The sequence below is a fragment of the Homo sapiens genome, chromosome 1, assembly GCF_000001405.40.
Source record: "Homo sapiens chromosome 1, GRCh38.p14 Primary Assembly".
In the NCBI taxonomy this organism is placed as follows: domain Eukaryota; kingdom Metazoa; phylum Chordata; class Mammalia; order Primates; family Hominidae; genus Homo; species Homo sapiens.
The window spans coordinates 154922571-154943018 of NC_000001.11; the positions used below are offsets into that span (position 1 = coordinate 154922571).

The window sequence follows — 20448 nt, forward strand, 5'->3', positions numbered from 1 at the left end:
AGCTGCTGTGGCTAATCGGTCCCCAAGTTCTGTGGAACCTACCCTGTCTAGGATTATTTCTGAAAGGTAAATTCCGTGATGGCAGGGCCCATGTCTCTCTTGTAGCTGTGTCCCTAGCTCCTAGAGCCACAGCAGGTGCTCAGGAAGTGGATGTGATTGAATGCATGGTGAGACAGGACTACAGAAGACATGCTGGAATCAAGCAGGTAATGATGTCATGCAGTAGGTGTTTCCTCACCTCCAACCCGGAGGTTCTGACAGGGCTCCTGTGCCCGGAACCTCTGCTCCCCTTCAGGCAGTGAGCCAGTTTCACTGATGGGAATATGCCCGGTATCAGGTGGGCTGGGTCAGAAACAAAGTTGAATGCCACCACCAACCCATCTGCTTTCCAGTGACCCTCTCTCCTTCAGCCTGTGCTACTTCTTGCTTGGAATCTTGCAGAAGCCTCTTAGCTGGCCCCGTGGACTCTATGTTCTCCCTGGTTTGATTGTGTCCTTCCTGCCCTTCTTTTTTTCTCAGAGATAGTCTCGCTCTGTCGCCCAGGCTGGAGTGCAGTGGCAAGATCTCTGCCTCCCAGGTTCAAGCAATTCTCCTGCCTCAGCCTCCTGAGTAGCTGGGATTACAGGCACCTGCCACCATGCCCAGCTAATTTTTGTATTTTTGGTAGATGGGGTTTTGCCATGTTGGCCAGGTTGGTCTTGAACTCCTGACCTCAAATGATCCACCCTCCTCTGCCTCCCAAAGTGCTGGGATTATAGGCATGAGCCACCCCACCCCAGCCCCTAATCGACTTCTTTACAAACCTTATGACTCGTTAAGGTTTGTAACCCAAAAACTTTGCCTCCCACATTCATCAGAGTTGGCCCCAGTGACTTTTGGACATTTCCATGACTGGGATTGTTCACAATCATTTGCTCCCAGCTCCAGAGAGGGATTTCCAAGCAGCAATGGCAGTGCCCCTGGGACAAGGGGTCAGTGCTCACCCAGGCACGGCAGGCCTGGGTGTCATGGAAGCCCACCCTCCTTCCCAGAGAACTGAAGTTGTCTTTGGCACTGCCTTCAGGTTCCTGGGCACCTGGAGGGTGTCTATTTCTCACTGAGGTCAAGAGTTCCTTAAGGAACAGTCCTGTGACCTGTTCATCTTTATGTGCCCAGTGCCTGGCACCCAGCAAGGATGATGGCAGCAGAGCAGAGGAGATCTGGGCAGAAACAAGATTCAGTCTGGGTCACACTGAAAGTGTAATTTCTTTGGCTGTCCCCTTATCTGTGAGAACAGAATTTGTGGGAGGATTACGAAGCCAGGGCCAGAGTTGGAGGGCTTAGGCTTGGCCTGGGGACAGCAAGGAGCCTTGGGACTTTGTACCACAACCATAGGAATGTGCAGAAGGGGCCTGGTCAGGAGTCAAGTGGCCTGGGTTCCACACAGCACTGACACTTACTAAGCCCTCTAACCCTGGAGAAGTTGTTTCACTTCTTTGAGTTCTTGGCATCTGCTAAATGCGATGAAAATCCTATCCTCGCCCATTTCAGGGGGTAGCTGTGAAGAATCTAGAAGAAATTTGGAAATTATAAAAGGCTATATAAATTACAAGGGCAGGGCCAGGCATGGTAATGGCTCGCACTTGTAATCCCAACACTTTAGGAGGCCAAGGTGGGAGCATTGCTTAAGTTCAGGAGTTCAAGACCAGCCTGGGCAACATAGCGAAACCCTGTCTCTACTAAAAATGAAAAAAATTAGCCAAATATAGTGGTGTGTGCCTGTAGACCCAGCTACTTGGCAGGCTGAGGCAGGATTGCTTGAGCCCAGGAGGTCAGGCTGCAATGAGCTATGATCACACCACTGCATGCCAGCCTGGGTGACAGAATAAGACCCTGTCTCAAAGAAAAAAAAAAAGCGGGGGGAGGGGGCACTTGCTGGTGGCACTTTCTATGGATCACAGCCTTTCATGGCGCTATACCAGAGGGTAAGGGCCTCAACCCAATCCCACCTCCAACATAAACAGGCCAGTTGCCTGTGGGGTGCAGCATAGGTCAACCTCTGAAGAATACATTCTAGCCAGGTGGGAGGTGGAACAGGGACCCTCCAGCCACCATGACACCCTAACGCCTTCTAAACCCCACCCAGGCCAGCTTGGCATCAAGGAAATGAGAGACAAGCAGCTCTGAGAGTGTGCTCCAAGAGGTTTATTAGTATCCACACTGGGGAGCTCTGGGTTCTTGCCCAGAACAAGGGGCTGAGAACATCCAGTCAGGATGCAAGGCCACCACAGGCTGAGGGGACTGGCACTGGGGATATGGCAGGGTTTCGCCTTCAAGCACAGCCAAGACACCCTCCTTTGCCCTTGGAGTCTCCTCCTGAAGAGCATGGCTGTCTTCCCCATGGAGAAAATGAGGTCTCCAGAGGTTTCCTGCCTTGCCCAATATCCACCAACCCCCTCAGAATCTAGACCCCCCCTGTCTGTTCCTCACCTCGGCCAGGATCGGGGGACACCCCCATTTTGCAGAGTCAGCCCCACCCCCACCTCAGCAGGCCCCAGCTCACTCCTAGAACCTAGTGACTAAAGTCTGGAGCGGATAAATTCTATCAGGTTCTCCAACTGCTCCTCCAGGCGCTGTTCAACTCCATGGTTCTCGATGACCCAGTCAAAGTCCCCGAAGTTGTCCAGGCCACATTCTGACTCAGCATCGTCCACCCCTATGAAGGAAGCATGGTGAGGTCAGGCCTCAGCCCTCCAGACAGACAGCAGGCATCAAGGCCTGCTAACCCCAACTGGAGTGGGCCCTCCCGGCCTCTCCTCTGCTACCCTAGAGCCAAGGGCTACCCACCCAGAAGGCACCTCCCTACCCCTGAAACACTGTGATGGCAGGTTCAGTAGCCCATAGCCACCTGGGCCTCTCAGCTGATCCCTCCTGACTTAATCCTTCACTTGCTACTGCCTACAGAGGGTGAATCGGGTCATCTAAAACCACACACAACCCAAAAGGGCACTGTGTTTTCATTTTCTGTCAAGCTGGTTGTGTCCTTTTCTATCCCTAAATCTGTCTGACTCAATCCCCTCAGGAGGCAGCATGTGCTGGAGTCAGAAGCAGAGGGTCAGGAGGCCAGCTCCTCCTCTCACTCTTTGTGACCCTGGGAAAGAGACTTAACCTTTCAGGCCAGGGCCTCATCCAACCATGGGTAAACTAATAACAGCATCTACCTGCTGAATCTGTTTTGATGGTAAAGTGAGACAGTGCATATAAAATGCTTAGCACAGGCCTGGACATGTGAGTGCCCCAGAAATGAGCAGCATTAGTAGTGGTCATACCCATTGGATCTGAACTGCTGCTCTAAGTCACAGTGATCTAGGGCAGGAAGGAAGCCTGAGCTGTGCTTCTGAAGCCCACAGAGCGGGTCCTGGGCTTGCACCACTGAAGCTCCCAGCAGAACTTCCTCTCCACTACTAACTTCTAACTCCACTACTGTGTTAAACAGAAGTGAGCTTTGTCAGGTTTGCCCCTGACCACTGTCAGCCCCTACTGGGCTGGAAAGCAAAGGTGAAGAATCATGGGGGTGGGTCCCAGCCAGACCACCAAAGCAGCCCACTGGCCATGAGAAGATAGCCTAGGTTAAGCCAAGGGAACCTTGACCCTCAGGATTCTGTCCACCATGCTACTCCCTAATCAGGAGGCCTCAGATTCTCCTTTATCATCCCTTATTCACTTCCCCCAGGCCTGCCCGGTAGACAAACCACAGGGTGGGTAGCCTGTGTCCTCCTGTGCCCTACACATAGAGTGGCTCACCTGGCGTGAACACCCAGCCCCGCTGCTGTCGGCTCTGCTCCAACGCTACAACGCGGACCGTCTGCGTCACGGCCCCATAGGCCTCCCGAAACCACTGGATGTCAGACACTCTCCGTGTGTCACTCACCAGCTGCAGGAGAGGGACAGACAGGTGACCAACAGGACAGGATGATAGAAGTGAGGGGAGGTGGGAGGACTACAGAACCCAGGGCAGTGTGGGGTGTGGCTCTACCCCCCCATCATCGTGAGCATGTCAGCAGCTAGACTCACTATTCACGGATTCATTCATTCATTGAACATACACCACTGAGTGCTGACTACATGTCAGGCAGTGCTGCTGACAAGTTCATTAATCCAATTAAACAAGTATTATAGTAAGTACCTACTGTACGCTGGTCACTGTGCTAGGTGCTAAGGCTAGACTGGTAAGCAAAACAGACCCTGTGCCTGCCCTCTCAGAGCTTACAGTCTAGTGGGAGACACTGAACAAGTATTCAGTAATCAAATAACCATGTGATTACAGTGTATGTCAACAAGTGTCTCAACCTCAACACGGCTGAAACTCAACTCCTGATTTCCTCTCCAATCCTGTTCCTCCCCACCTTCCCTGTCTTAGAAAATGATAATTCTATATTTGTCCACCTGCTCAGAACAAAATCCTTGGTATAGTCTCTCACACCCCACAGCCAACCCAAGGGCAAATCCTGTTGGTTTTCTCTTCAAAATACACGCAAAATTGACCCCTTCTCTCCACTCTACGTTTGCTCCCCTCTGCGCCCCAACCATAGTCATTTTGTCTGTTACAGAAAGGTCCTGGCCAGGCATGGTGGCTCATGCCTGTAATCCCAGCATTTTGGGAGGCCGAGGTGGGTGGTTCACTTGAGGTCAGGAGTTCAAATTTTGCCAAATGGTAAAACACCGTCTCGACTAAAAATACAAAAAAAATTAGTTGGGCATGATGGCACATGCCTGTAATCCCAGCTACTCGGGAGGCTGATGCACAAGAATCGCTTAAACCCACAAGGCAGAGGGTAGAGTGAGCTGAGATCGCGCCACCGCACTCCAGCCTTGGTGACAAGAGTGAGACTCTGTCTCAAAAAAAAAAAAAAAAAAAAAAAAAAAACACAGGAAAGTCCTCCACCCGGCCCCTGTGCTTCTGCTCCCATCTTCCCCACAGCAGCTATGGCCAGGCTTCTCAATCTGAAATCAGATCATGTCTCTCCTCTGCTTAGAACGCTGTAGTGACTCCCCATCTCACTCAGAATAAAATCCCAGCTCTCCCAAAGGTCCGCCCTGGGAAGTCTGACCTGACCTTCCACCACTCTGGCCACCTGGCTTGTCCTCAGACACACCAGGCACACTCACCACTCAAGCCTCTGCACTTCCTCCTCCCTCTCTCTGGAAAGCTACTTCCCCAAATATCCATTCAGTTATCCCTTATTTCCTTCAGGTCTTGCTCAAACATCATCATATCAGTGTAGCCTTCCCAGGCACCCTTAATAAAACAGCAACGCTTCCCTATCTCTCCTCATATCCTAGGCCTACTTTATTTTACTCCTTAGTATTTACCACTGCCTGATATATTCTGTATTTATTCTGTGCCTATCTCCCCGCCACCCTCAGCTGTAATGTAAGCTCCCTGAAGGAAGAGATTTCATTGCGCTTTTGCACCAATATATCCCCACAACATGCAACCACACCTGGCAGAAGTAGACACTCAATATTCACTGCCAGAATGAATGAGGAAAAAAAGGGGTAGGGTGCTATAGGAGCACCTGCCAGGGAGCACCAGTTAAGACCTGAATATTAGGGAAGGCTTCCCTGTGGAGGTGTCATGTCAACTGAGCTGAAGCTAACCAGGGAAAGAGAAAGAAAGGGCAGTCCAGACAGGTGGAAGGGCATGTGCAAAGGCCCTGATTCCAGAAGGAGTTCGACTGACTTGAGGACCAAGAAGGCCAGTGTTGCTACAGCTTAAGGAGTAAGGAGGCTAAAAAAGTAGCAGAAACTGGATCACACAAGGCCCAGAAGTTCATGTGAAGGATTTTCATTTTGTTCATGAGCACAATGGGAAGCCACCAAAGTATTCTAAACAGAAGAGTGACATCACCTGGTTCACGTTTTTAAAAGGTCAGTCTGGGCCGCATGCAGTGGCTCACACCTGTAATCCCACTATTTTGGGAGGCCAAGGTGGGTGGATCACCTGAGGTCAGGAGTTCGAGACCAGCCTGGCCAACATGGTGAAAACCCGTCTCTACTAAAAATACAAAAATTAGCCAGGCGTGGTGGTGGACACCTGTAGTCCCAGCTGCTTGGGAGGCTGAGGCAGAAGAATCACTTAAACCCAGGAGGCAGAGGTTGCAGTGAGCCAAGATTGCGCCACTGCACTCCAGCCCAGGCGACAAGTGTGAGACTCCATCTCAAAAATAAATAAATAAATAAATAAATAAATAAATAAATAAATAATAAAAGGTCAGTCTGGCTACTGTGTAATGAATAGACCACAGAGGGCAAGAGCCACAGCTAGAGACCAGTGTGGAGGCTACTGCGACTGTCCAGGCCAGAAATGGTGGGGGCTTGGGCCAGGATGGTGGCAGTGGAGACAGAGAGAGATGGACACAGCGAAGAGCTAGGGAAACAGGTGTTCTTCATGCTGCCATGGAGCCCTCTTACCCAGATGGGCTGGGAGATGCCCTCCACAATCTTCCTGCAAAAGAAGCCTGGGTCAGCCTGGCGTTTCTCCTCTCCCCAGCGGATCATGTCCTTCCGAAAGGCCTCCTTGTAGGTGCTGGTGTCCAGGAGTCTCTGGAAGTTCAAGCCATGCTCCTGCCCAAAGGACATTATGTCTACGTCACCGGCCTTTCAACCTCAGTGGTCTCTCCTAAAACAGCGGAAGAGCCATCCCTCACCCTCACCTGCCTCCCCCAGGGCTGATGCAAGGATTAATGAGGTTTCAGCCAGGACAAAGGTCTGCAAGGGCAAGAGTCTCAGCAACTAAGAAATCCCGATCACTGGTAGACAGAAGAAAGGTCTGGGGATAATCCAGAAATTGTTTCAATTTGTCTTTGAAATATGTGGCGTGGTTTCTCTTTTGCAAGTTTTACCTTCCCAATTATTTCTGGCTTAAACTAATACTGAAATTAGTTTGCATCCCCTGGGCAAAGGCTTAGCCTTCAACTAAAGTGGGAAATCTGAGGGGGGAAAAAAAATCCTGCACTCCATGTCCTCCCACTAGCATTGTTTGCCCCCATCCCAAATCCCACGGAGATTGTGTCTCCTTTCTCTCCCCCTTACCCCTTCCCATCCCCAAATTCCTGGCGCCTTTGCTGAAACAGCATCACTCCATCTGGCTCTGGGCACTTGCAAGGCCTCCCACACCCAGAGGACCCCCAAGGCAGGAGAGGTTACTCTGACCACCCTGGGGAACTCCTTTCTCCCCTTTCCAAGCAGAGGGGTCCATCCAAAGGGATCCAGGATAGGAGGGGTCTGAAAAGCATCACCTCGTTCAGATTCTGGCTCCTCCATGAACTCACTGCAACAAGACCTTCTCCCCTCAGGCTCTCAATTTCTTGATCACCCACCTGCTCCCCTTGCTGCAAGAGGAGGTCAGTAGCCACCTCCTGCTCCTGAACCAGTTTCCCTCCAGGAGCGTTGTGGTCTACTTGTTGGTTATATTTCTTCTTGTGACTTAGGAAATCAATGCATGAACATTTCATTTTGGTTTTGTTTTTTAATGGGAGTGGGGGATAGAGTGGTGCTGGACTTGCACAGAGCAAGGGCAGTCTGGCCTATCAGAGTCTTCCATGGAGCTTTTAAAAATGCAAACTGGCCAGGCACAGTGGCTCACGCCTGTAATCCCAGCACTTTGGGAGGCCGAGGCGGGCAGATCACAAGGTCAGGAGTTCAAGACCAGCCTGACCAATATGGTGAAACCATGTCTCTACTAAAAATACAAAACAATTACCCGGGCGTGGTCACCCATGGCTGCAATCCCAGCTACTCAGGAGGCTAAGGCAGTAGAACTGCTTGAACCCCAGGAGGTGGAGGTTGCAGTGAGCCAAGATCGTGCCACTGCACTCTAGGCTGGGCGACAGAGCGAGACTCCGTCTCAAATATAAATAAAATAAATAAATAAATAAAAATGCAAACTCCTGCTCCTTCTTCCTCCCGCCCCCCACCCAACCCCACCAGTCTCACTCAGTAGGACAGAAGCAAGACCTGTCTGGGAACTTTGGAAGATCAGTTTTGAAAGTGCTCCTGGGAGGCCTTTGGAAGTGCCTAGGCCCCACTAGGGAAGGCTCAGTGCCTTCCCCTTCACCCCTTCCTTCCTCCCATCCCCCCACCACCACCCCACCACCCTGCAGCATCGCTCCCAGTCTGTCTCCTGGATACAAAGAAATTCTGTATCCAGTTTCATTTGGGAAAGAATCCTGCTTAAAATTTTTGAAAACCAGGCCAGGTAAAGTAGCTCCTGCCCAAATCCTAGCACTTTGGGAGGCCATAGTGGGAGGATCACTTGAGCCCAGGAGTTGGAGACCAGCCTGGGCAACATAATGAGACTCCCATCTCTACAAAAAAAAATTTTAAACTTAGCCAGGCATAGTGGCATGCACCTGTATTCCTAGCTACTTGGGAAGCTCAAGTGGGAGGATCACTTGAGCCCAGGAGGTCAAGGCTGCAGTGAGCCATTATGCGCCACTGCACTCCAGCCTGCGCTACAGAGCAAGACCTTGTCTCAAAAAGAAAAAAAAATAAACCACTTAATTTAGTTATTCTTACAATTCCTCAGGCTGCCACCCTATGAATAGGTCTGTTCAGCTGGTGAGAGATGACCCAATGCTTCCCATGGAGGCAAAGATGGCATATAGAAGGGGGGACAATTCATTTTATGTGGTTCCGGAAACCACACTCTGGCCAATTGAGGGGCCAAAGCACACGTCCCAGAAGGGTGCACCTAGAGGTCAAGGGCAAAATGTGGCGACAAGAGGGCTCTTCACCATGTGGGAGGCTGATCTTGCCTTCCAAGTTCCCTTTCTGAAGTCTAAGATTCTGAGAGTTCCTGTTGACTTATTTTTTTTATTCTATTTTAACGATTCTATTTTTTTTAATCCATGTGGTTCAAAATTCAAAGATACACATTAATTTACAGTCGAAAATCTCTCTCTCACCCTGTCCCCTCCCTGGGGGCAACCAATGGTACGGTTTCTAACCTGTCTTTCCCATGCAGTGCAGGAACACATCCCAGGCACCTGAAACAGTGCTGAACATGAGACAGGCACCCTGTAAATATTTGTTAAATAGCCAAATATATGAGCAGATATATTTAGAATTCTTTTACAATTCTTGGTCACAAAGTGCCTCTTCAGTTTTAGACAAATGTAGCATTCTCTACACACTGTTCTATATCTTGGTATTGGCTTTTTTTTTTTTTCACTTAATGATATATTTTGACAACTTCTGGGACTAAATTTCTTTTTTGTGTGTTGTTGTTTACTTTAAAAAAAATTTTTTTTAAAGAAACGGAGATGGGGTTTCACCATGTTGGCCAGGCTGGTCTCTAACTCCTGGACTCAAGCAATCTACCTGCCTCGGCCTCCCAAAGTGCTGGGATTACAGGCATGTGCCACCGTGCTCGGCCTGTACTAAATTTCTAGGAGCAAAGTTCTAGGGGCTGTGTCAGGCCAGCTGAGTGAGAGGGTGGTGTGAGGAGGCACAGGCAGGTCCTTACTAATCACACAGCATCAGAGCTGCCAACTCGAGTGTCGACAGCCTTTCCTGGGCACACCTTCCTGAACTCACTCTGAAGGGAGGGAGGCTATTAGGAAAGAAATATAAGCTGAAAATGCCCCCGAAAGGTCCACTCACAGAAAACCAAGAGCTGGCCACCACCCTGCCAGCAGTGGTGACGGGAATCATGCCAGTGACTCAGGCAGCAGCCACAGCTCCAAAGTCCTGGAGCCGGCCCCGCCCAACACACCGGATGCCACAAAGCACCACCTACCTGAGCATACTGTTCCTTGAGTGGACCAGAGAGCCGGAGGACAGCACAGACATCAGCTCCAAGTCTGCAGGACAGGGAGATCAGAATCCAGTTAGCCTAGAATTTCCAGGAGCTTCCATGTCCCAGAAAGGGAGTCAAGAGGCCTGTGTTGAAGTCCCATTTCTACTACTGGTATTATGTAACTTTGGTAGGTCTCAATGTCCCTGATCCTGTTTCCTCATCAGAAAATGGGGATAACACTTTCTGTTCTGTCTCCCACACAGGATTATTATGAAACTCTAAAGAATATAAAAGAGCCCTGAAACTAACAGGTAAAACCTATAAAGTGCTAATTACAGTGTGAACAGGCGCACAATATTCTAGCTGGATTAGGTTATTGCCCAGACCCTAAACTAATTCTCTCATAGCCAGAGGTATCTGTCTCCACTGACTTGGTCACCATAACATATATCATTTATTAATTCACTGGTTGGGCATGGTGGCTCACACCTGTAATCCCAATACTTTGGGAGGCCAAGGCAGGAGGAGTGCTTGAGGCCAGGAGTTCAAGACCAGCCTGGGCAACACAATAAGACCCAGAGATACCATCTCCACCAAAAAATTTAAAAATTAGCTGAGCATGGCAGCATGTGCCTGTACTCCCAGCTACTCCAGAGGCTGAGGTGGGAGCATTCCTGAGCCCAGGAGTTCCAGGCTACAGTGAGCCATGATTGTACCACTGTATGCCAGCCTGGGAGACAGAGTGAGACCCTGTCTCATAAAAATGAAATAAGAAAAGCAAATTTAAAAAACTGAAACAAAAGCCAGGTGTGGTGGCTCACGCCTGTAATCCCAGTACTTTGGAAGGCTGAGGCAGCAGATCACCTGAGGTCAGGAGTTTGAGACCAGCCTGACCAACACGGTGAAACCCTGTCTCTACTAAAAGCATAAAATTAGCCGGACATGATGGCGCATGCCTGTAATCCCAGCTACTCGGGAGGCTGAGGCAGGAGAATCACCTGAACCCAGGAGGTGGAAGTTGCAGTGAGCCGAGATCGCCCCATTGCACTCCAGCCTGGGCAACAAGAGTGAAAATCCATCTCAAAAATGAAAATAAAAATAAAAATAACTCATTCGTTATTTAATTTACTTAACCAACCTTTTTTTTTTTTTTTTTTTTTGAGACGGAGTCTTGCTCCACCACCCAGGCTGGAGTGCAATGGCGCGATCTCGGCTCACTGCAATCTCCGCCTCCCAGGTTTGAGCGATTCTCCTGCCTCGGCCTCCCAAGTAGCTGGGATTACAGGCGCCCGCCACTACACCCGGCTAATTTTTGTATTTTTAGTACAGACGGGGTTTTGCCATGTTGGCCAGGCTGGTCTCAAACTCCTGATCTCGTGATCCGCCCGCCTCAGCCTCGCAAAGTGCTGGGATTACAGACGTGAGCCACCGCACACGGCCCTTCTTTTTTTCTCTTTTTTGAGACAGAGTCTCACTCTGTCGTCCAGGCTGGAGTACAGTGGCACCATCTCGTCTCACCACAACCTCTGCCTCCTGGCTTAACCAACCATTTATTGGGTACCATATTTGGATCTAGGTGATACAAATGTGAATGATACATGCTTCCTGTCCTAGCCTTGAGATGCTCACAATACACTTAACGCACAGGAAGATAAGTGCTGTTTTTGAGACTGAGTCTCACTCTGTAGCCCAGGCTGGAATGCAGTGGTGCAATCTCAGGTCACTGCAACCTGCACCTCCTGGGTTTAAGCTATTCTCCTGCCTCAGCCTCCCAAGTAACTGGGACTACAGGCCGGCGCCACCACGTCCCACTAATTTTTGTATTTTTAGTAGAGAAGGGTTTTACCATGTTGGTCAGGCTGGTCTCGAACTCCTGAGCTCAAGTGATCCACCCTTCTCGGCCTCTCAAAGTGCTAGGATTACAGGCGTGAGCCACTGCGCCCAACGATAAGTGTTCTTTGTTTTGTTTTGGTTTGGTTTTTTAAGAGTCAGGGTCTTGCTGTCACCCAGGCTAGAGTGCAGTGGTATGATCACAGCTCACTACAATCTTGAACTCCTGGGCTCAGGCAATCCTCGCACCTCAGCCTCCTGAGTATCTGGGATTACTGGCATGCACCACCATACCCAGCTAATTTTTTTTATCTTTTGTAGAGAGGGGGTCTCACTATGTTGCCCTGGCTGTAAGTGTTCTTATTTTCATGTTTCAGATGAGGAAGCTGAGGTTGTGAAAGGAGGATTGACTCCCCCAAAGCAACACTGCAAGTAGTGAAGCCAAGATTGGTAAAATAAATATAGCCAACATTTAGTTCCTGCACCTCTGCTAGGTGCCAATAATTATTCTAAGCCCTTCACACACATTATCTCATTTAATCCCCACAACCACCCTATTATCATCCCCATTTTACAGATGACAAAACTGAGACGCAGGCCAGGTGCGGTGGTGGTTCACGTCTGTAATCCCAGCACTCTGGGAGGCCGAGGCAGGCAGATCACCTGAGGTCAGGAGTTCCAGACCAGCCTGGCCAACATGGTGAAACCTGTCTCTACTAAAAATACAAAAGTTAGCTGGGCATGGTGGCACACACCTGTAATCCCAGCTACTCGGGAGGCTGAGACAGGAAAATCGCTTGAACCCAGGAGACAGAGGTTGCGGTGAGCCGCAACCTGGGTGCGCTCCAGCCTGGGTGACAGAGCAAGACTCCGTCTCAAAAAAAAAAAAAAAAAAAAAAAAAAAACATGAGGCACAGAGTGAATGACAGATGTGTACAAGATCACACACTAATCAACAGTGAGCCAGGGTTTGCATCCCAGCAGTCTAATTCCAGAGCCTGTGCTTCGGACCACTATTTGACGTCAGGGTTTGGAGGTGAGGAGAAATGCAACTTAGGAAAAGGTGGTGAGATACTTAGTGATGAAAAATTCAGGTGGTGACCTCTGCTCTGGGCTCTCCCACACCTTCATAGAACCCCCGTGGTACCCAAAAGCAGCTTCCTGGTACCCCCACCACACTGGCCTTCAAGAGGAGAGGAGCCCCACTTTCTCCCCAACCTCTGCTCTCCTAGCCCAGGTCTCAGCAAAATGCTCCTGCACAGAAGATCTTGCTTTGACAGAAAACACTGTGCAAAAGGTATTATTATTTGGGGAGGCAGCCAGATAAAACAGAAAGAAACCAGTCCTTGGCGCAAGATAAAGTTGAATTTGTTTGGGTTTTTTTTCTTTTTGTTTCAATTATATATTAATTGCTGAGATGCCCATCATGAACCACAAAGCTGAATTTGAATCCTGGATTTGCCACTTACTTTGTGACCAGCAAGGGTTTTTTGTTGTTAACTTCGTATGTTATTTTATTTTATTTTACTTCGAGACAGGGTCTCAGGCTCTGCTGCAAGGACTGGAGGACAGTAGCATGATTACAATTCACTGTAGCCCCCAGGTTCAAGCGATCCTCCCACCTCAGCCTCCTGAGTAGCTTGGACTAGAGGTGCTCGCCATCGCACTAGGCTAACTTTTCCATTTTTTTGTAGAGACTAGGGTCTTACTGTGTTGCCCAGGCTGGTCTCCACTACTGGGCTCTCAAGCCATCCTCGCACCTCTGTCTCCCAAAGTGCTGGGGTGACAGACATGACCACCACACCCGGCCTGTTTAACTTTTTAAGAGCCTCAGTTTCTTCACCTGTGAAATGGAGATGCTAATAATGGCACACAGTACCTAACAAAGAGGTGAAGAGGGTTTTTTGTTTTGTTTTTTTAAGACAGGGTCTCGCTCTGTCGCCCAGGCTGGAGTGCAGTGGCCAATCTCGCCTCACTGCAACCTCCGCCTCCCGGGCTCAAGCGATTCTTCTACCTCAGGCTCCTGAATAGCTGGGACCACAGGCACGCGTCACCACGCCCAGCTACTTTTTGGATTTTTCGTAGAGGCGGGGTCTCGCCATGTTGCCCAGGCTGGTATCCAACGCCTGGTATATAGAAAGTGCCTTCGTAGGAACCATTATTAATGCTTCTCAGAGAGACCTGCAGCTGAAGGTCTTTGGAGAGGTGGTCACCTGCTTCTTTGAGGCTCGCCTGTGTAGACTACTGTTTTATGTAATGGTGGCATTCCACCTTCCCCAGCCCAGTGCTCCTCCTGCCTTGCAAACGGACGACCCGTACTCCAAAGCTCACTCCGTGACACCCAAAAGCACTCCTCGTGTCACGTGATGCGGAGAGCTCCCCCTTCCACCTTTCCCGCCTCACGGACACCTGCTCTGCAGCGCCTCGGTCACGAAGTCCTTCCCGGATTTCCTCTTGCCGCTGAACAGCAGTACCAGCCGCGGGGCGCCTCCCAGCGGGGCCATGGGGCCGCCACGCCTCGCGATGCCTGAAGCTGACACTTCTCCCTACCCCTAAAATCGGGACACCGCGCGGAATGGACGCGGCCACTAAGCGGAGCGGCAACAAGGAACAATCGCGCCCCTCCTCGCCGTAGCTGCGAACAGGGCTGACCGCCCGCGACCGTGCCCTCAGCTCATGTCCAAACAGATATGGGGAGAAAAGGGTGAGACACGCGGAGAGAAAGGCGGTTCCTTCACAGAGCAGCCTCCCCTCGTGAAGCTCCCCCACCCGAACTCACTTAGAACAGTCCAGCCCCGCCCAGAACCTTCGCTCACAGCCTGGCCTGCTTAACTGACACCCGGGGAGGAACCGGACGCGACTACCTTCCTCCGAGGGGGGTGACGTCTGAAATTTCCTGAGGTGAACCCCATGTTCCCTTCCGCGCAGCCCTAAAACTTTAGGAAAAAAAATCTCTGGAGTGAGATCACGTTGGAGACGTTTTGGAAACTGCCCTTTTGCCTGTGCGTTATAGTACATGTGCCACAGCAAATCTGCGCGCGCCCCAGAGTGGGAATGGGTCTTCCTGGGGGCGTAAGGCAGCCCTGACGCGAGCGGCGTGTCTGGCCACGTCATGTCGGGGGAGGAGCAGAATCGCGCACACGATATTTCATTGTCAAGCAGATTTTATAACCCGAGACGTCACTAAGATGTGGCCCTTTAAGCCCGGCGAGAAACCTTTGATTGCTTTTCTAGCCGCAGCCTCCGGCCCAAAGGTTTTCGGAAGCAAACGGCGTGGGTGACATCAATAGTAAGGGAGCGTTGAATCCCTAGATGAGATTGCCTGGTTTCATCCGAAGTCTGGCTCCCAGCCAGAAGTTTGAGAGGCAGGATAAGAATAATCTGTCCTTTCCCTGCATCCCCGGTTCTGCCTCTTCCCGCAGTAGGTGACGGGTTGCCCCAGCTGAGTACGTCGAGTTGTTTTTGGCTATGACTTGCCGTCCTGCATTTTTCTGAGCATGTCAGAACAGAGCCTGCAACTCATTACTGCCTCCACTAGAGAAAAAGTGTAGTGTGGAGACTTAGGGAGAAACCATTAATTTCCTGAATGTTGAAAAGAGGCACAGGAGAGTGGTCAGATGCAAAAAGAACAGACTTAAGGAGGTGGTTTTTTGTTTTTTGGGGTTTTTTTTGTTTTTTTTCAGCAACCCAGAAAACACTGCACTCATCAACGCCCTAGAAGGCAGCACAGAGTGGATTTTCAGTCCCAGCTTGGACACTTAGCAAGTCACTCTGAGTTTACCACTGATAAGGCCCACTTCCCAGGGTTATAATAAGAAAGGAATGAAGAAAATATATGACAAGGTACAATAAAATACTTTGTAAGTTCTCAAGTATCATCCAGATGTAAGGGGTTGTTATTTATTCTTAGCACTTCGTCATTCAACACAGAATCAGATTTTCCAGCTCATCTTCAATAAACATGTATTTGGGCCTCCACGGAAAGTCCACATCTCCTGTTTTACCTGAGTCACATGGAAGGAGTCAGAACTTACTCCCGGAGTCTCTTTCCTCACCTGACCCAATGCACGCCCCTTACCTCCCTCTCTGACTCTGAGATCCAGCTCCCTGAATACCTAGTGAGCGATCAGAAAACTTCCCCCAGGCTCACGCCTGTAATCTCCGCACTTTGGGAGGCCAAGGCGGATCACCTGAGGGCAGGAGTTCGAGACCAGCCTGGCCAGCATGGTGAAACCCCATCTCTACTAAAAATACAAAAATTAGCTGGATAGCTGGACGTGGTGGCGGGCACCTGCAATCCAGCTACTCAGGAGGCTGAGGCATGAGAACACTTGAACCTGGGAGGCAGAGGTTGCAGTGAGCCAAGATTGTACCACTGCGCTCCAGCCTGGACAACAGAAAAAGACTCCGTCTCAAAAAATAAAAAAAAACTTCCCCCATACTAGGCTTCCTAGTATGCCTCAACTGAACTCCACTGTCCCTTACTGGTGTCTCAAGTGGAGGCTTTAGTCTCCCAGCCCTCATCCCTCAGCATCCGCTTTGAGTCTATGGCCTCCCTTCCTCCCCATTTTAATTTCCACACCATTACTCATCCTGCCTCTTGGAAAACTATGGTTCCTCTAAGGCTCATGCCACCTGCCTGCGCTACCCTCCTGCTTTCCTCAGTACTGGCAGCCCAGCAATCCTGGTGGTTCATTTTCATTTTCTTTTGTTTCTTTATGCAGACGGGGTCTTGCTATGTTGGCCAGGCTAGTCTGGAATTCCTGGGCTCAAGCAGTCCTCTCTGGCCTCAGCCTCCAAAAGTGCCGGGATTACCAGTGTAAGCCACTGCACCCAGCCTCATTCTCATTTTCTGAGACTCAGCCACTGGCTCCCAGTCTCCTTTTCTACAGAGTTGCTGTCATCATCCTCGGTGACATCACGGTCATGGCCAGCCCATCCAACACCCCGCTGCTCAATCCCTTGGCCCTGGCTGTTCAAAGCCTTTTCCCCCCTCTCCTCCTCAGAGGCCAGCTCCTATGGACACACCCTGGGCTTTGTCATCACCAGAAGCTGCTCAACCTGCAAACTCACATGCTCATCCACCCAACCCTCCAAGGTCACTTGCTCAAATACTCCCCAAAGTAGCACTTCCCTCCCAAGTCCACTAGCTGGTGGAACTGGTTACATTATATAACATGCTCTGCCTGCCTTCCACAACCCAGGGGAAAAAAGTTAAATGTGGCCCGGTGCAGTGGCTCATGCCTGTAATCCCAGCACTTTGGAAGGCCGAGGCGGGCAGATCACGAGGTCAGGAGATCGAGACCATCCTGGGTAACACGGTGAAACCCCATTTCTACTAAAAATACAAAAAAAAAAAAACAAAACAGCCAAGCGTGGTGGCAGGCACCTGTAGTCCCAGCTACACTCGGGAGGCTGAGGCAGGAGAATGGCGTGAACCCAGGAGGTGGAGCTTGCAGTGAGCGGAGATCAGAGATCACGCCACTGCACTCCAGCCTGAACAACAGAGCGAGACTCCATCTCAAAAAAAAAAAAAAAAAAGAAAGAAAAGTTAATGATCCACCTAGATGACAGCCATGGCTTGTTTCTTTTCTTTTTTTGAGACAGGGTCTCACTCTGTGCCCAGGCTGGAAGTGCAGTGGCGGATCATAAGCTCACTGCAGCCTTGATGTCCTGGGCTCAAGCAATCCTTCCACCTTCAGCCTGCTGAGTAGCTGGGACTACAGGTGTGTGCCACCATGCTGAGTTAAACTTTTTTTTTTTTTTTTAATTTTTAGTAGAGATAAGGTCTTGCTATGTTTCCCAGGCTGGTCTCGAACTCCTGGCCTCAAGCCAACCTCCCATCTCAGCCTCCCAAAGTGCTGGAATTACAGGCATGAGCCACAGCGCCCAGCCAGCCTGTTCCTTTGCTGGCCTCATGCCACTATTTCTGGACTAGTCCTGTCATTCCAGATGAGCAAGCATTGATGGCCAGCCTGTTTGACCCATGGGCAATGGACCTTCCAAAGGGAGCTATCTAGCACTTTCCTCTCCACAGCATGTGGCTTCAGGTGTCTGCCTATCCTGCTCTAGCCAGATGACCTGTCCCTTTGATTTTGAACAGAGTCTCAGTGATGACCTCAATGGATGACCCTCCCCTCTGCTGAATGCCTCCCCTGGGGCTGAGCGAAGGTAAGTGCCCCATGCTGGTGAGAACTCCTGCAAAGGGGCCCTGCTCTGGAGAGGAAGTGGAGGGTGGGGGGAATGGTGAGGATTAGTGGCACCCCTCCCATTTCCTACAGTAGCCATCCCCTCAGACCTGCAGGCTGCCAGTGGCAGAATTTGCCCCCTCTGTGAACCATCTAGCTATAGGCTATAACACCCTTACCTCAGGCCTCACCTTTGCCTAGCCTGAAATACCTTCCCCCATTCTCCCATCTCTGAAATCCTATTATCTTTCAAGATCCAACTCAAAGGCCACCCCTTTCTTCCTCTTCACCCAGTTGGCAGACTGCTCCTGGCACCATTAAGAGAGTACTATTAAAATTCTGCTTTGTATGCAGCTAATCCAATTAGCCTCGGGGCAAGGATTGGGGGGCCCCACAGCATCTAGCACAGTATTGAGACCTGAATGCTAGTTAGCATCTTTTCCCGCCAGCTCCTGCCACATCGGGGAACCAACACCCTTTCCTCCCATATCAGTAGCTCCCAGTGGCTCCCAGTTTCCCCCTTAGAGGTTAAGTACAATAAAAATAACTGCTCTGTTTCAGTGCCCTTTAGCTTGCAAAGCCTTTTCATGTATCTTACATTGACTCATCTCACCCTCGGGACAGCCTCTGAGAGCAGAGTCTGTGGTCTCCACTTCAATGATGAGAAAGCTGAGCCCTTAAGCAAGGAGAGCCCTCTTGCCCAAGGCCCACAGGTGGGCAGCGGTGGAGACCGCCACTCTGGGGTTTCCGACTTCAAATCTCGCTCAGGTCAAAGCTCTGGTTAGAAAAGATCTGGGCTGGGAGCCCCCCTGGCCCAGGAACAGGTGAGCCAGGAACAGGCCCAGCCAGAAGAACAGGTGAGCGGGGAAGGGGTTCACTGTTGTTCTCCATTTGGGAGCGGCAGTCACCTATCCTGGGTGCCAAAGGTTACCAAAGAGATGGGTGGCCACCTTAAGGGAGACCTGGGAGAGGTGGGACAGGGAACTCAGATAAGTGCTTAACAAGGGGCTTCTGTGGCTCAGGCAGCTGAGTTGGGGAGGGGAAGAACCTGTTGTCTGATTTAGGCAACAGCCCTCCACACCCCTACCCTGCAACCTGCACTGTCCCTACCAGACCCCTGCTGTGAGCATGTGAAGGGGCCAGGAACATCTGTGGCCCAGAACCAGGCAGGATGAGGAGACATTCCTGTGTCAGGGTAACCCTGGGAGGTTCCCATGGCAACAGCCAGCCAGTCCAGTGTGTGTCCTTGGGCCCAGCCGGACGAGGCTGGGAGCCACTCTCAAAAGGAGCAATGTGCCTCTGACCTTCCAGAAGCCAATAGGGGTGGTCAGGCTGGGAAGCGAAGTGACCCACTACCACCTATGACCCACCCACCCCATCTGTCTCCACCACCTGTCACCCCAGGATGGGTGTGAATGCCAGGCAATGGGGAAAGCCTGGGGCCTAGGGGACCTGGGGAGGCAGCAGGAGACGGGGGAGATCCTGGAGGAGGCACAGGGCCAGACAGGGCATGGGTGGCAGAGGCTGGGCTGAGGGCACTGGGGAAAGGGTGGCTGAAGGAGCCTGGGAAGCAGGTGAGGCTGAAGAATGAGAGATAAGGACGGGAGGGGGGAATGCAGACTGGGGACTACCAGGAAATGAGTTTTTGGGACTGGCCAAAGGAAATAGAATTTTTCCATTTGAGAGTAGAAGGCCCAAGAAGGCCACCCCTAACTCTAGTGATTCTTCCCAAGGACCCCTGAGCTCAGCTCTCAGGGAAGCAGGCCCTACTTGGGCAAACTTGGGGAGCTCCCAGCGGAAAAGGCAGAAAGCCAAGTGCTAAAAATGCCAAGTGCTGAAACTGGAAGAGCCCAGCCCAAACCCTGGGAGGCCAAACAGACACGTGGTGAAATCCAGTGAGTCTACCCACAAGCTCCCCGAAGCCCTGCCCAGGCCAGAGCTATCCCCAAGGCCTGTGGGAAGGAGGGAATGCTGTCCCTTGGCTCTAGCCTCCCTGGACTCATCTCTACACACTGGGCCCATGGTCAGGAGATCATCCGAAGACCTGGACCCTGGGCTCCTCCTCACCACCAGTGCTGCATGGGTGTGTTAGAGAGAGGGGCCTCGTGGCCTGTGATGAGTGCGAGGATCGCCTCCCAGGGGCATCCCAGAGAGAGGGCGATCAGAGCAGCCAATGTCACTGGCATCCCAGCCCTCCCCAACATACCCCTTGGGTTCGTGGCTTTTTCTTCCTGATTCAGCAGCTTCAGAAACCTCCAGCTCAGCATATCTACTTCCTGAGTGGGTAAGGAACAGGAGGGGGCTTAGGGGAACCTGGCAGCCTCCCTGAGCGTTCGTTATGCAAACGAAGGAAATGAGCCCTAAAAATGAAACTGAGAAGCCCCAAGGGGCCACAGTGAGAGTCACCACCCTCTGGGAACTCAGGTAGGCCAGTTTGTATCCCCTTTCCCAGGCCCAGCCACCTGCCCCAGGACACTGAATCCTACCTACCTTCTAGCCTGAATCTGTCTCTCAGCAACCCAACTTTACCAGTCAGCTGTTCAGGCAGCAAGAATTTTGAGCACCTACAGAAGGTGAGCAATGTGAACAGGGTAAAACTAGGCTTCTTCAAGGAGCAGTGGTTCACAGGCCTGGGTACCAAATCCTAAG

General features: G+C 51.0%; 1 protein-coding gene across 4 annotated transcripts, besides 10 other annotated features; it reads right to left on the reverse strand.

Moving 5' to 3' along the window:
• On the reverse strand, positions 2170-20088 carry PMVK (phosphomevalonate kinase). Of its 4 annotated transcripts, none has more exons than NM_001323012.3 (5): positions 20006-20088; positions 9782-9845; positions 6454-6606; positions 3784-3913; positions 2170-2695 (listed from the first exon to the last, which is right to left on the reverse strand). In NM_001323012.3, exons 3-5 carry the CDS (start codon positions 6538-6540, stop codon positions 2559-2561), a joined length of 354 nt encoding a protein of 117 aa, NP_001309941.1. In that variant the 5' UTR covers positions 6541-6606; positions 9782-9845; positions 20006-20088; the 3' UTR covers positions 2170-2558. The 4 variants fall into 4 exon arrangements, with proteins under 4 accessions (NP_001309941.1, NP_001335625.1, NP_006547.1 ...); NM_001348696.2 differs by lacking the exon at positions 20006-20088 and adding an exon at positions 14021-14149 and having other exon boundaries at positions 6454-6487; NM_006556.4 differs by lacking the exon at positions 20006-20088 and adding an exon at positions 14021-14149.
• Positions 13599-13698: a silencer, noted in NCBI's record as "silent region_1367". NCBI's record gives its function as "represses an Ori minimal core promoter by ATAC-STARR-seq in GM12878 lymphoblastoid cells {active_cell/tissue: GM12878}" and the evidence as "EXISTENCE:reporter gene assay evidence [ECO:0000049][PMID:35858748]".
• Positions 13599-14618: a biological region, named in NCBI's record as "NANOG-H3K27ac-H3K4me1 hESC enhancer GRCh37_chr1:154908701-154909643".
• Positions 13655-14597: an enhancer, noted in NCBI's record as "NANOG-H3K27ac-H3K4me1 hESC enhancer chr1:154908701-154909643 (GRCh37/hg19 assembly coordinates)". NCBI's record gives its function as "activates a minimal SCP1, AML or CMV promoter by ChIP-STARR-seq in primed H9 embryonic stem cells {active_cell/tissue: H9 hESC(primed)}" and the evidence as "EXISTENCE:reporter gene assay evidence [ECO:0000049][PMID:30033119]".
• Positions 14419-14618: an enhancer, noted in NCBI's record as "active region_1792". NCBI's record gives its function as "activates an Ori minimal core promoter by ATAC-STARR-seq in GM12878 lymphoblastoid cells {active_cell/tissue: GM12878}" and the evidence as "EXISTENCE:reporter gene assay evidence [ECO:0000049][PMID:35858748]".
• Positions 14598-15539: an enhancer, noted in NCBI's record as "NANOG-H3K27ac-H3K4me1 hESC enhancer chr1:154909644-154910585 (GRCh37/hg19 assembly coordinates)". NCBI's record gives its function as "activates a minimal SCP1, AML or CMV promoter by ChIP-STARR-seq in primed H9 embryonic stem cells {active_cell/tissue: H9 hESC(primed)}" and the evidence as "EXISTENCE:reporter gene assay evidence [ECO:0000049][PMID:30033119]".
• Positions 19258-19337: a silencer, noted in NCBI's record as "silent region_1368". NCBI's record gives its function as "represses an Ori minimal core promoter by ATAC-STARR-seq in GM12878 lymphoblastoid cells {active_cell/tissue: GM12878}" and the evidence as "EXISTENCE:reporter gene assay evidence [ECO:0000049][PMID:35858748]".
• Positions 19333-20208: an enhancer, noted in NCBI's record as "H3K4me1 hESC enhancer chr1:154914379-154915254 (GRCh37/hg19 assembly coordinates)". NCBI's record gives its function as "activates a minimal SCP1, AML or CMV promoter by ChIP-STARR-seq in naive H9 embryonic stem cells {active_cell/tissue: H9 hESC(naive)}" and the evidence as "EXISTENCE:reporter gene assay evidence [ECO:0000049][PMID:30033119]".
• Positions 19333-20247: a biological region, named in NCBI's record as "H3K4me1 hESC enhancer GRCh37_chr1:154914379-154915254".
• Positions 19728-19777: an enhancer, noted in NCBI's record as "active region_1793". NCBI's record gives its function as "activates an Ori minimal core promoter by ATAC-STARR-seq in GM12878 lymphoblastoid cells {active_cell/tissue: GM12878}" and the evidence as "EXISTENCE:reporter gene assay evidence [ECO:0000049][PMID:35858748]".
• Positions 19868-20247: an enhancer, noted in NCBI's record as "active region_1794". NCBI's record gives its function as "activates an Ori minimal core promoter by ATAC-STARR-seq in GM12878 lymphoblastoid cells {active_cell/tissue: GM12878}" and the evidence as "EXISTENCE:reporter gene assay evidence [ECO:0000049][PMID:35858748]".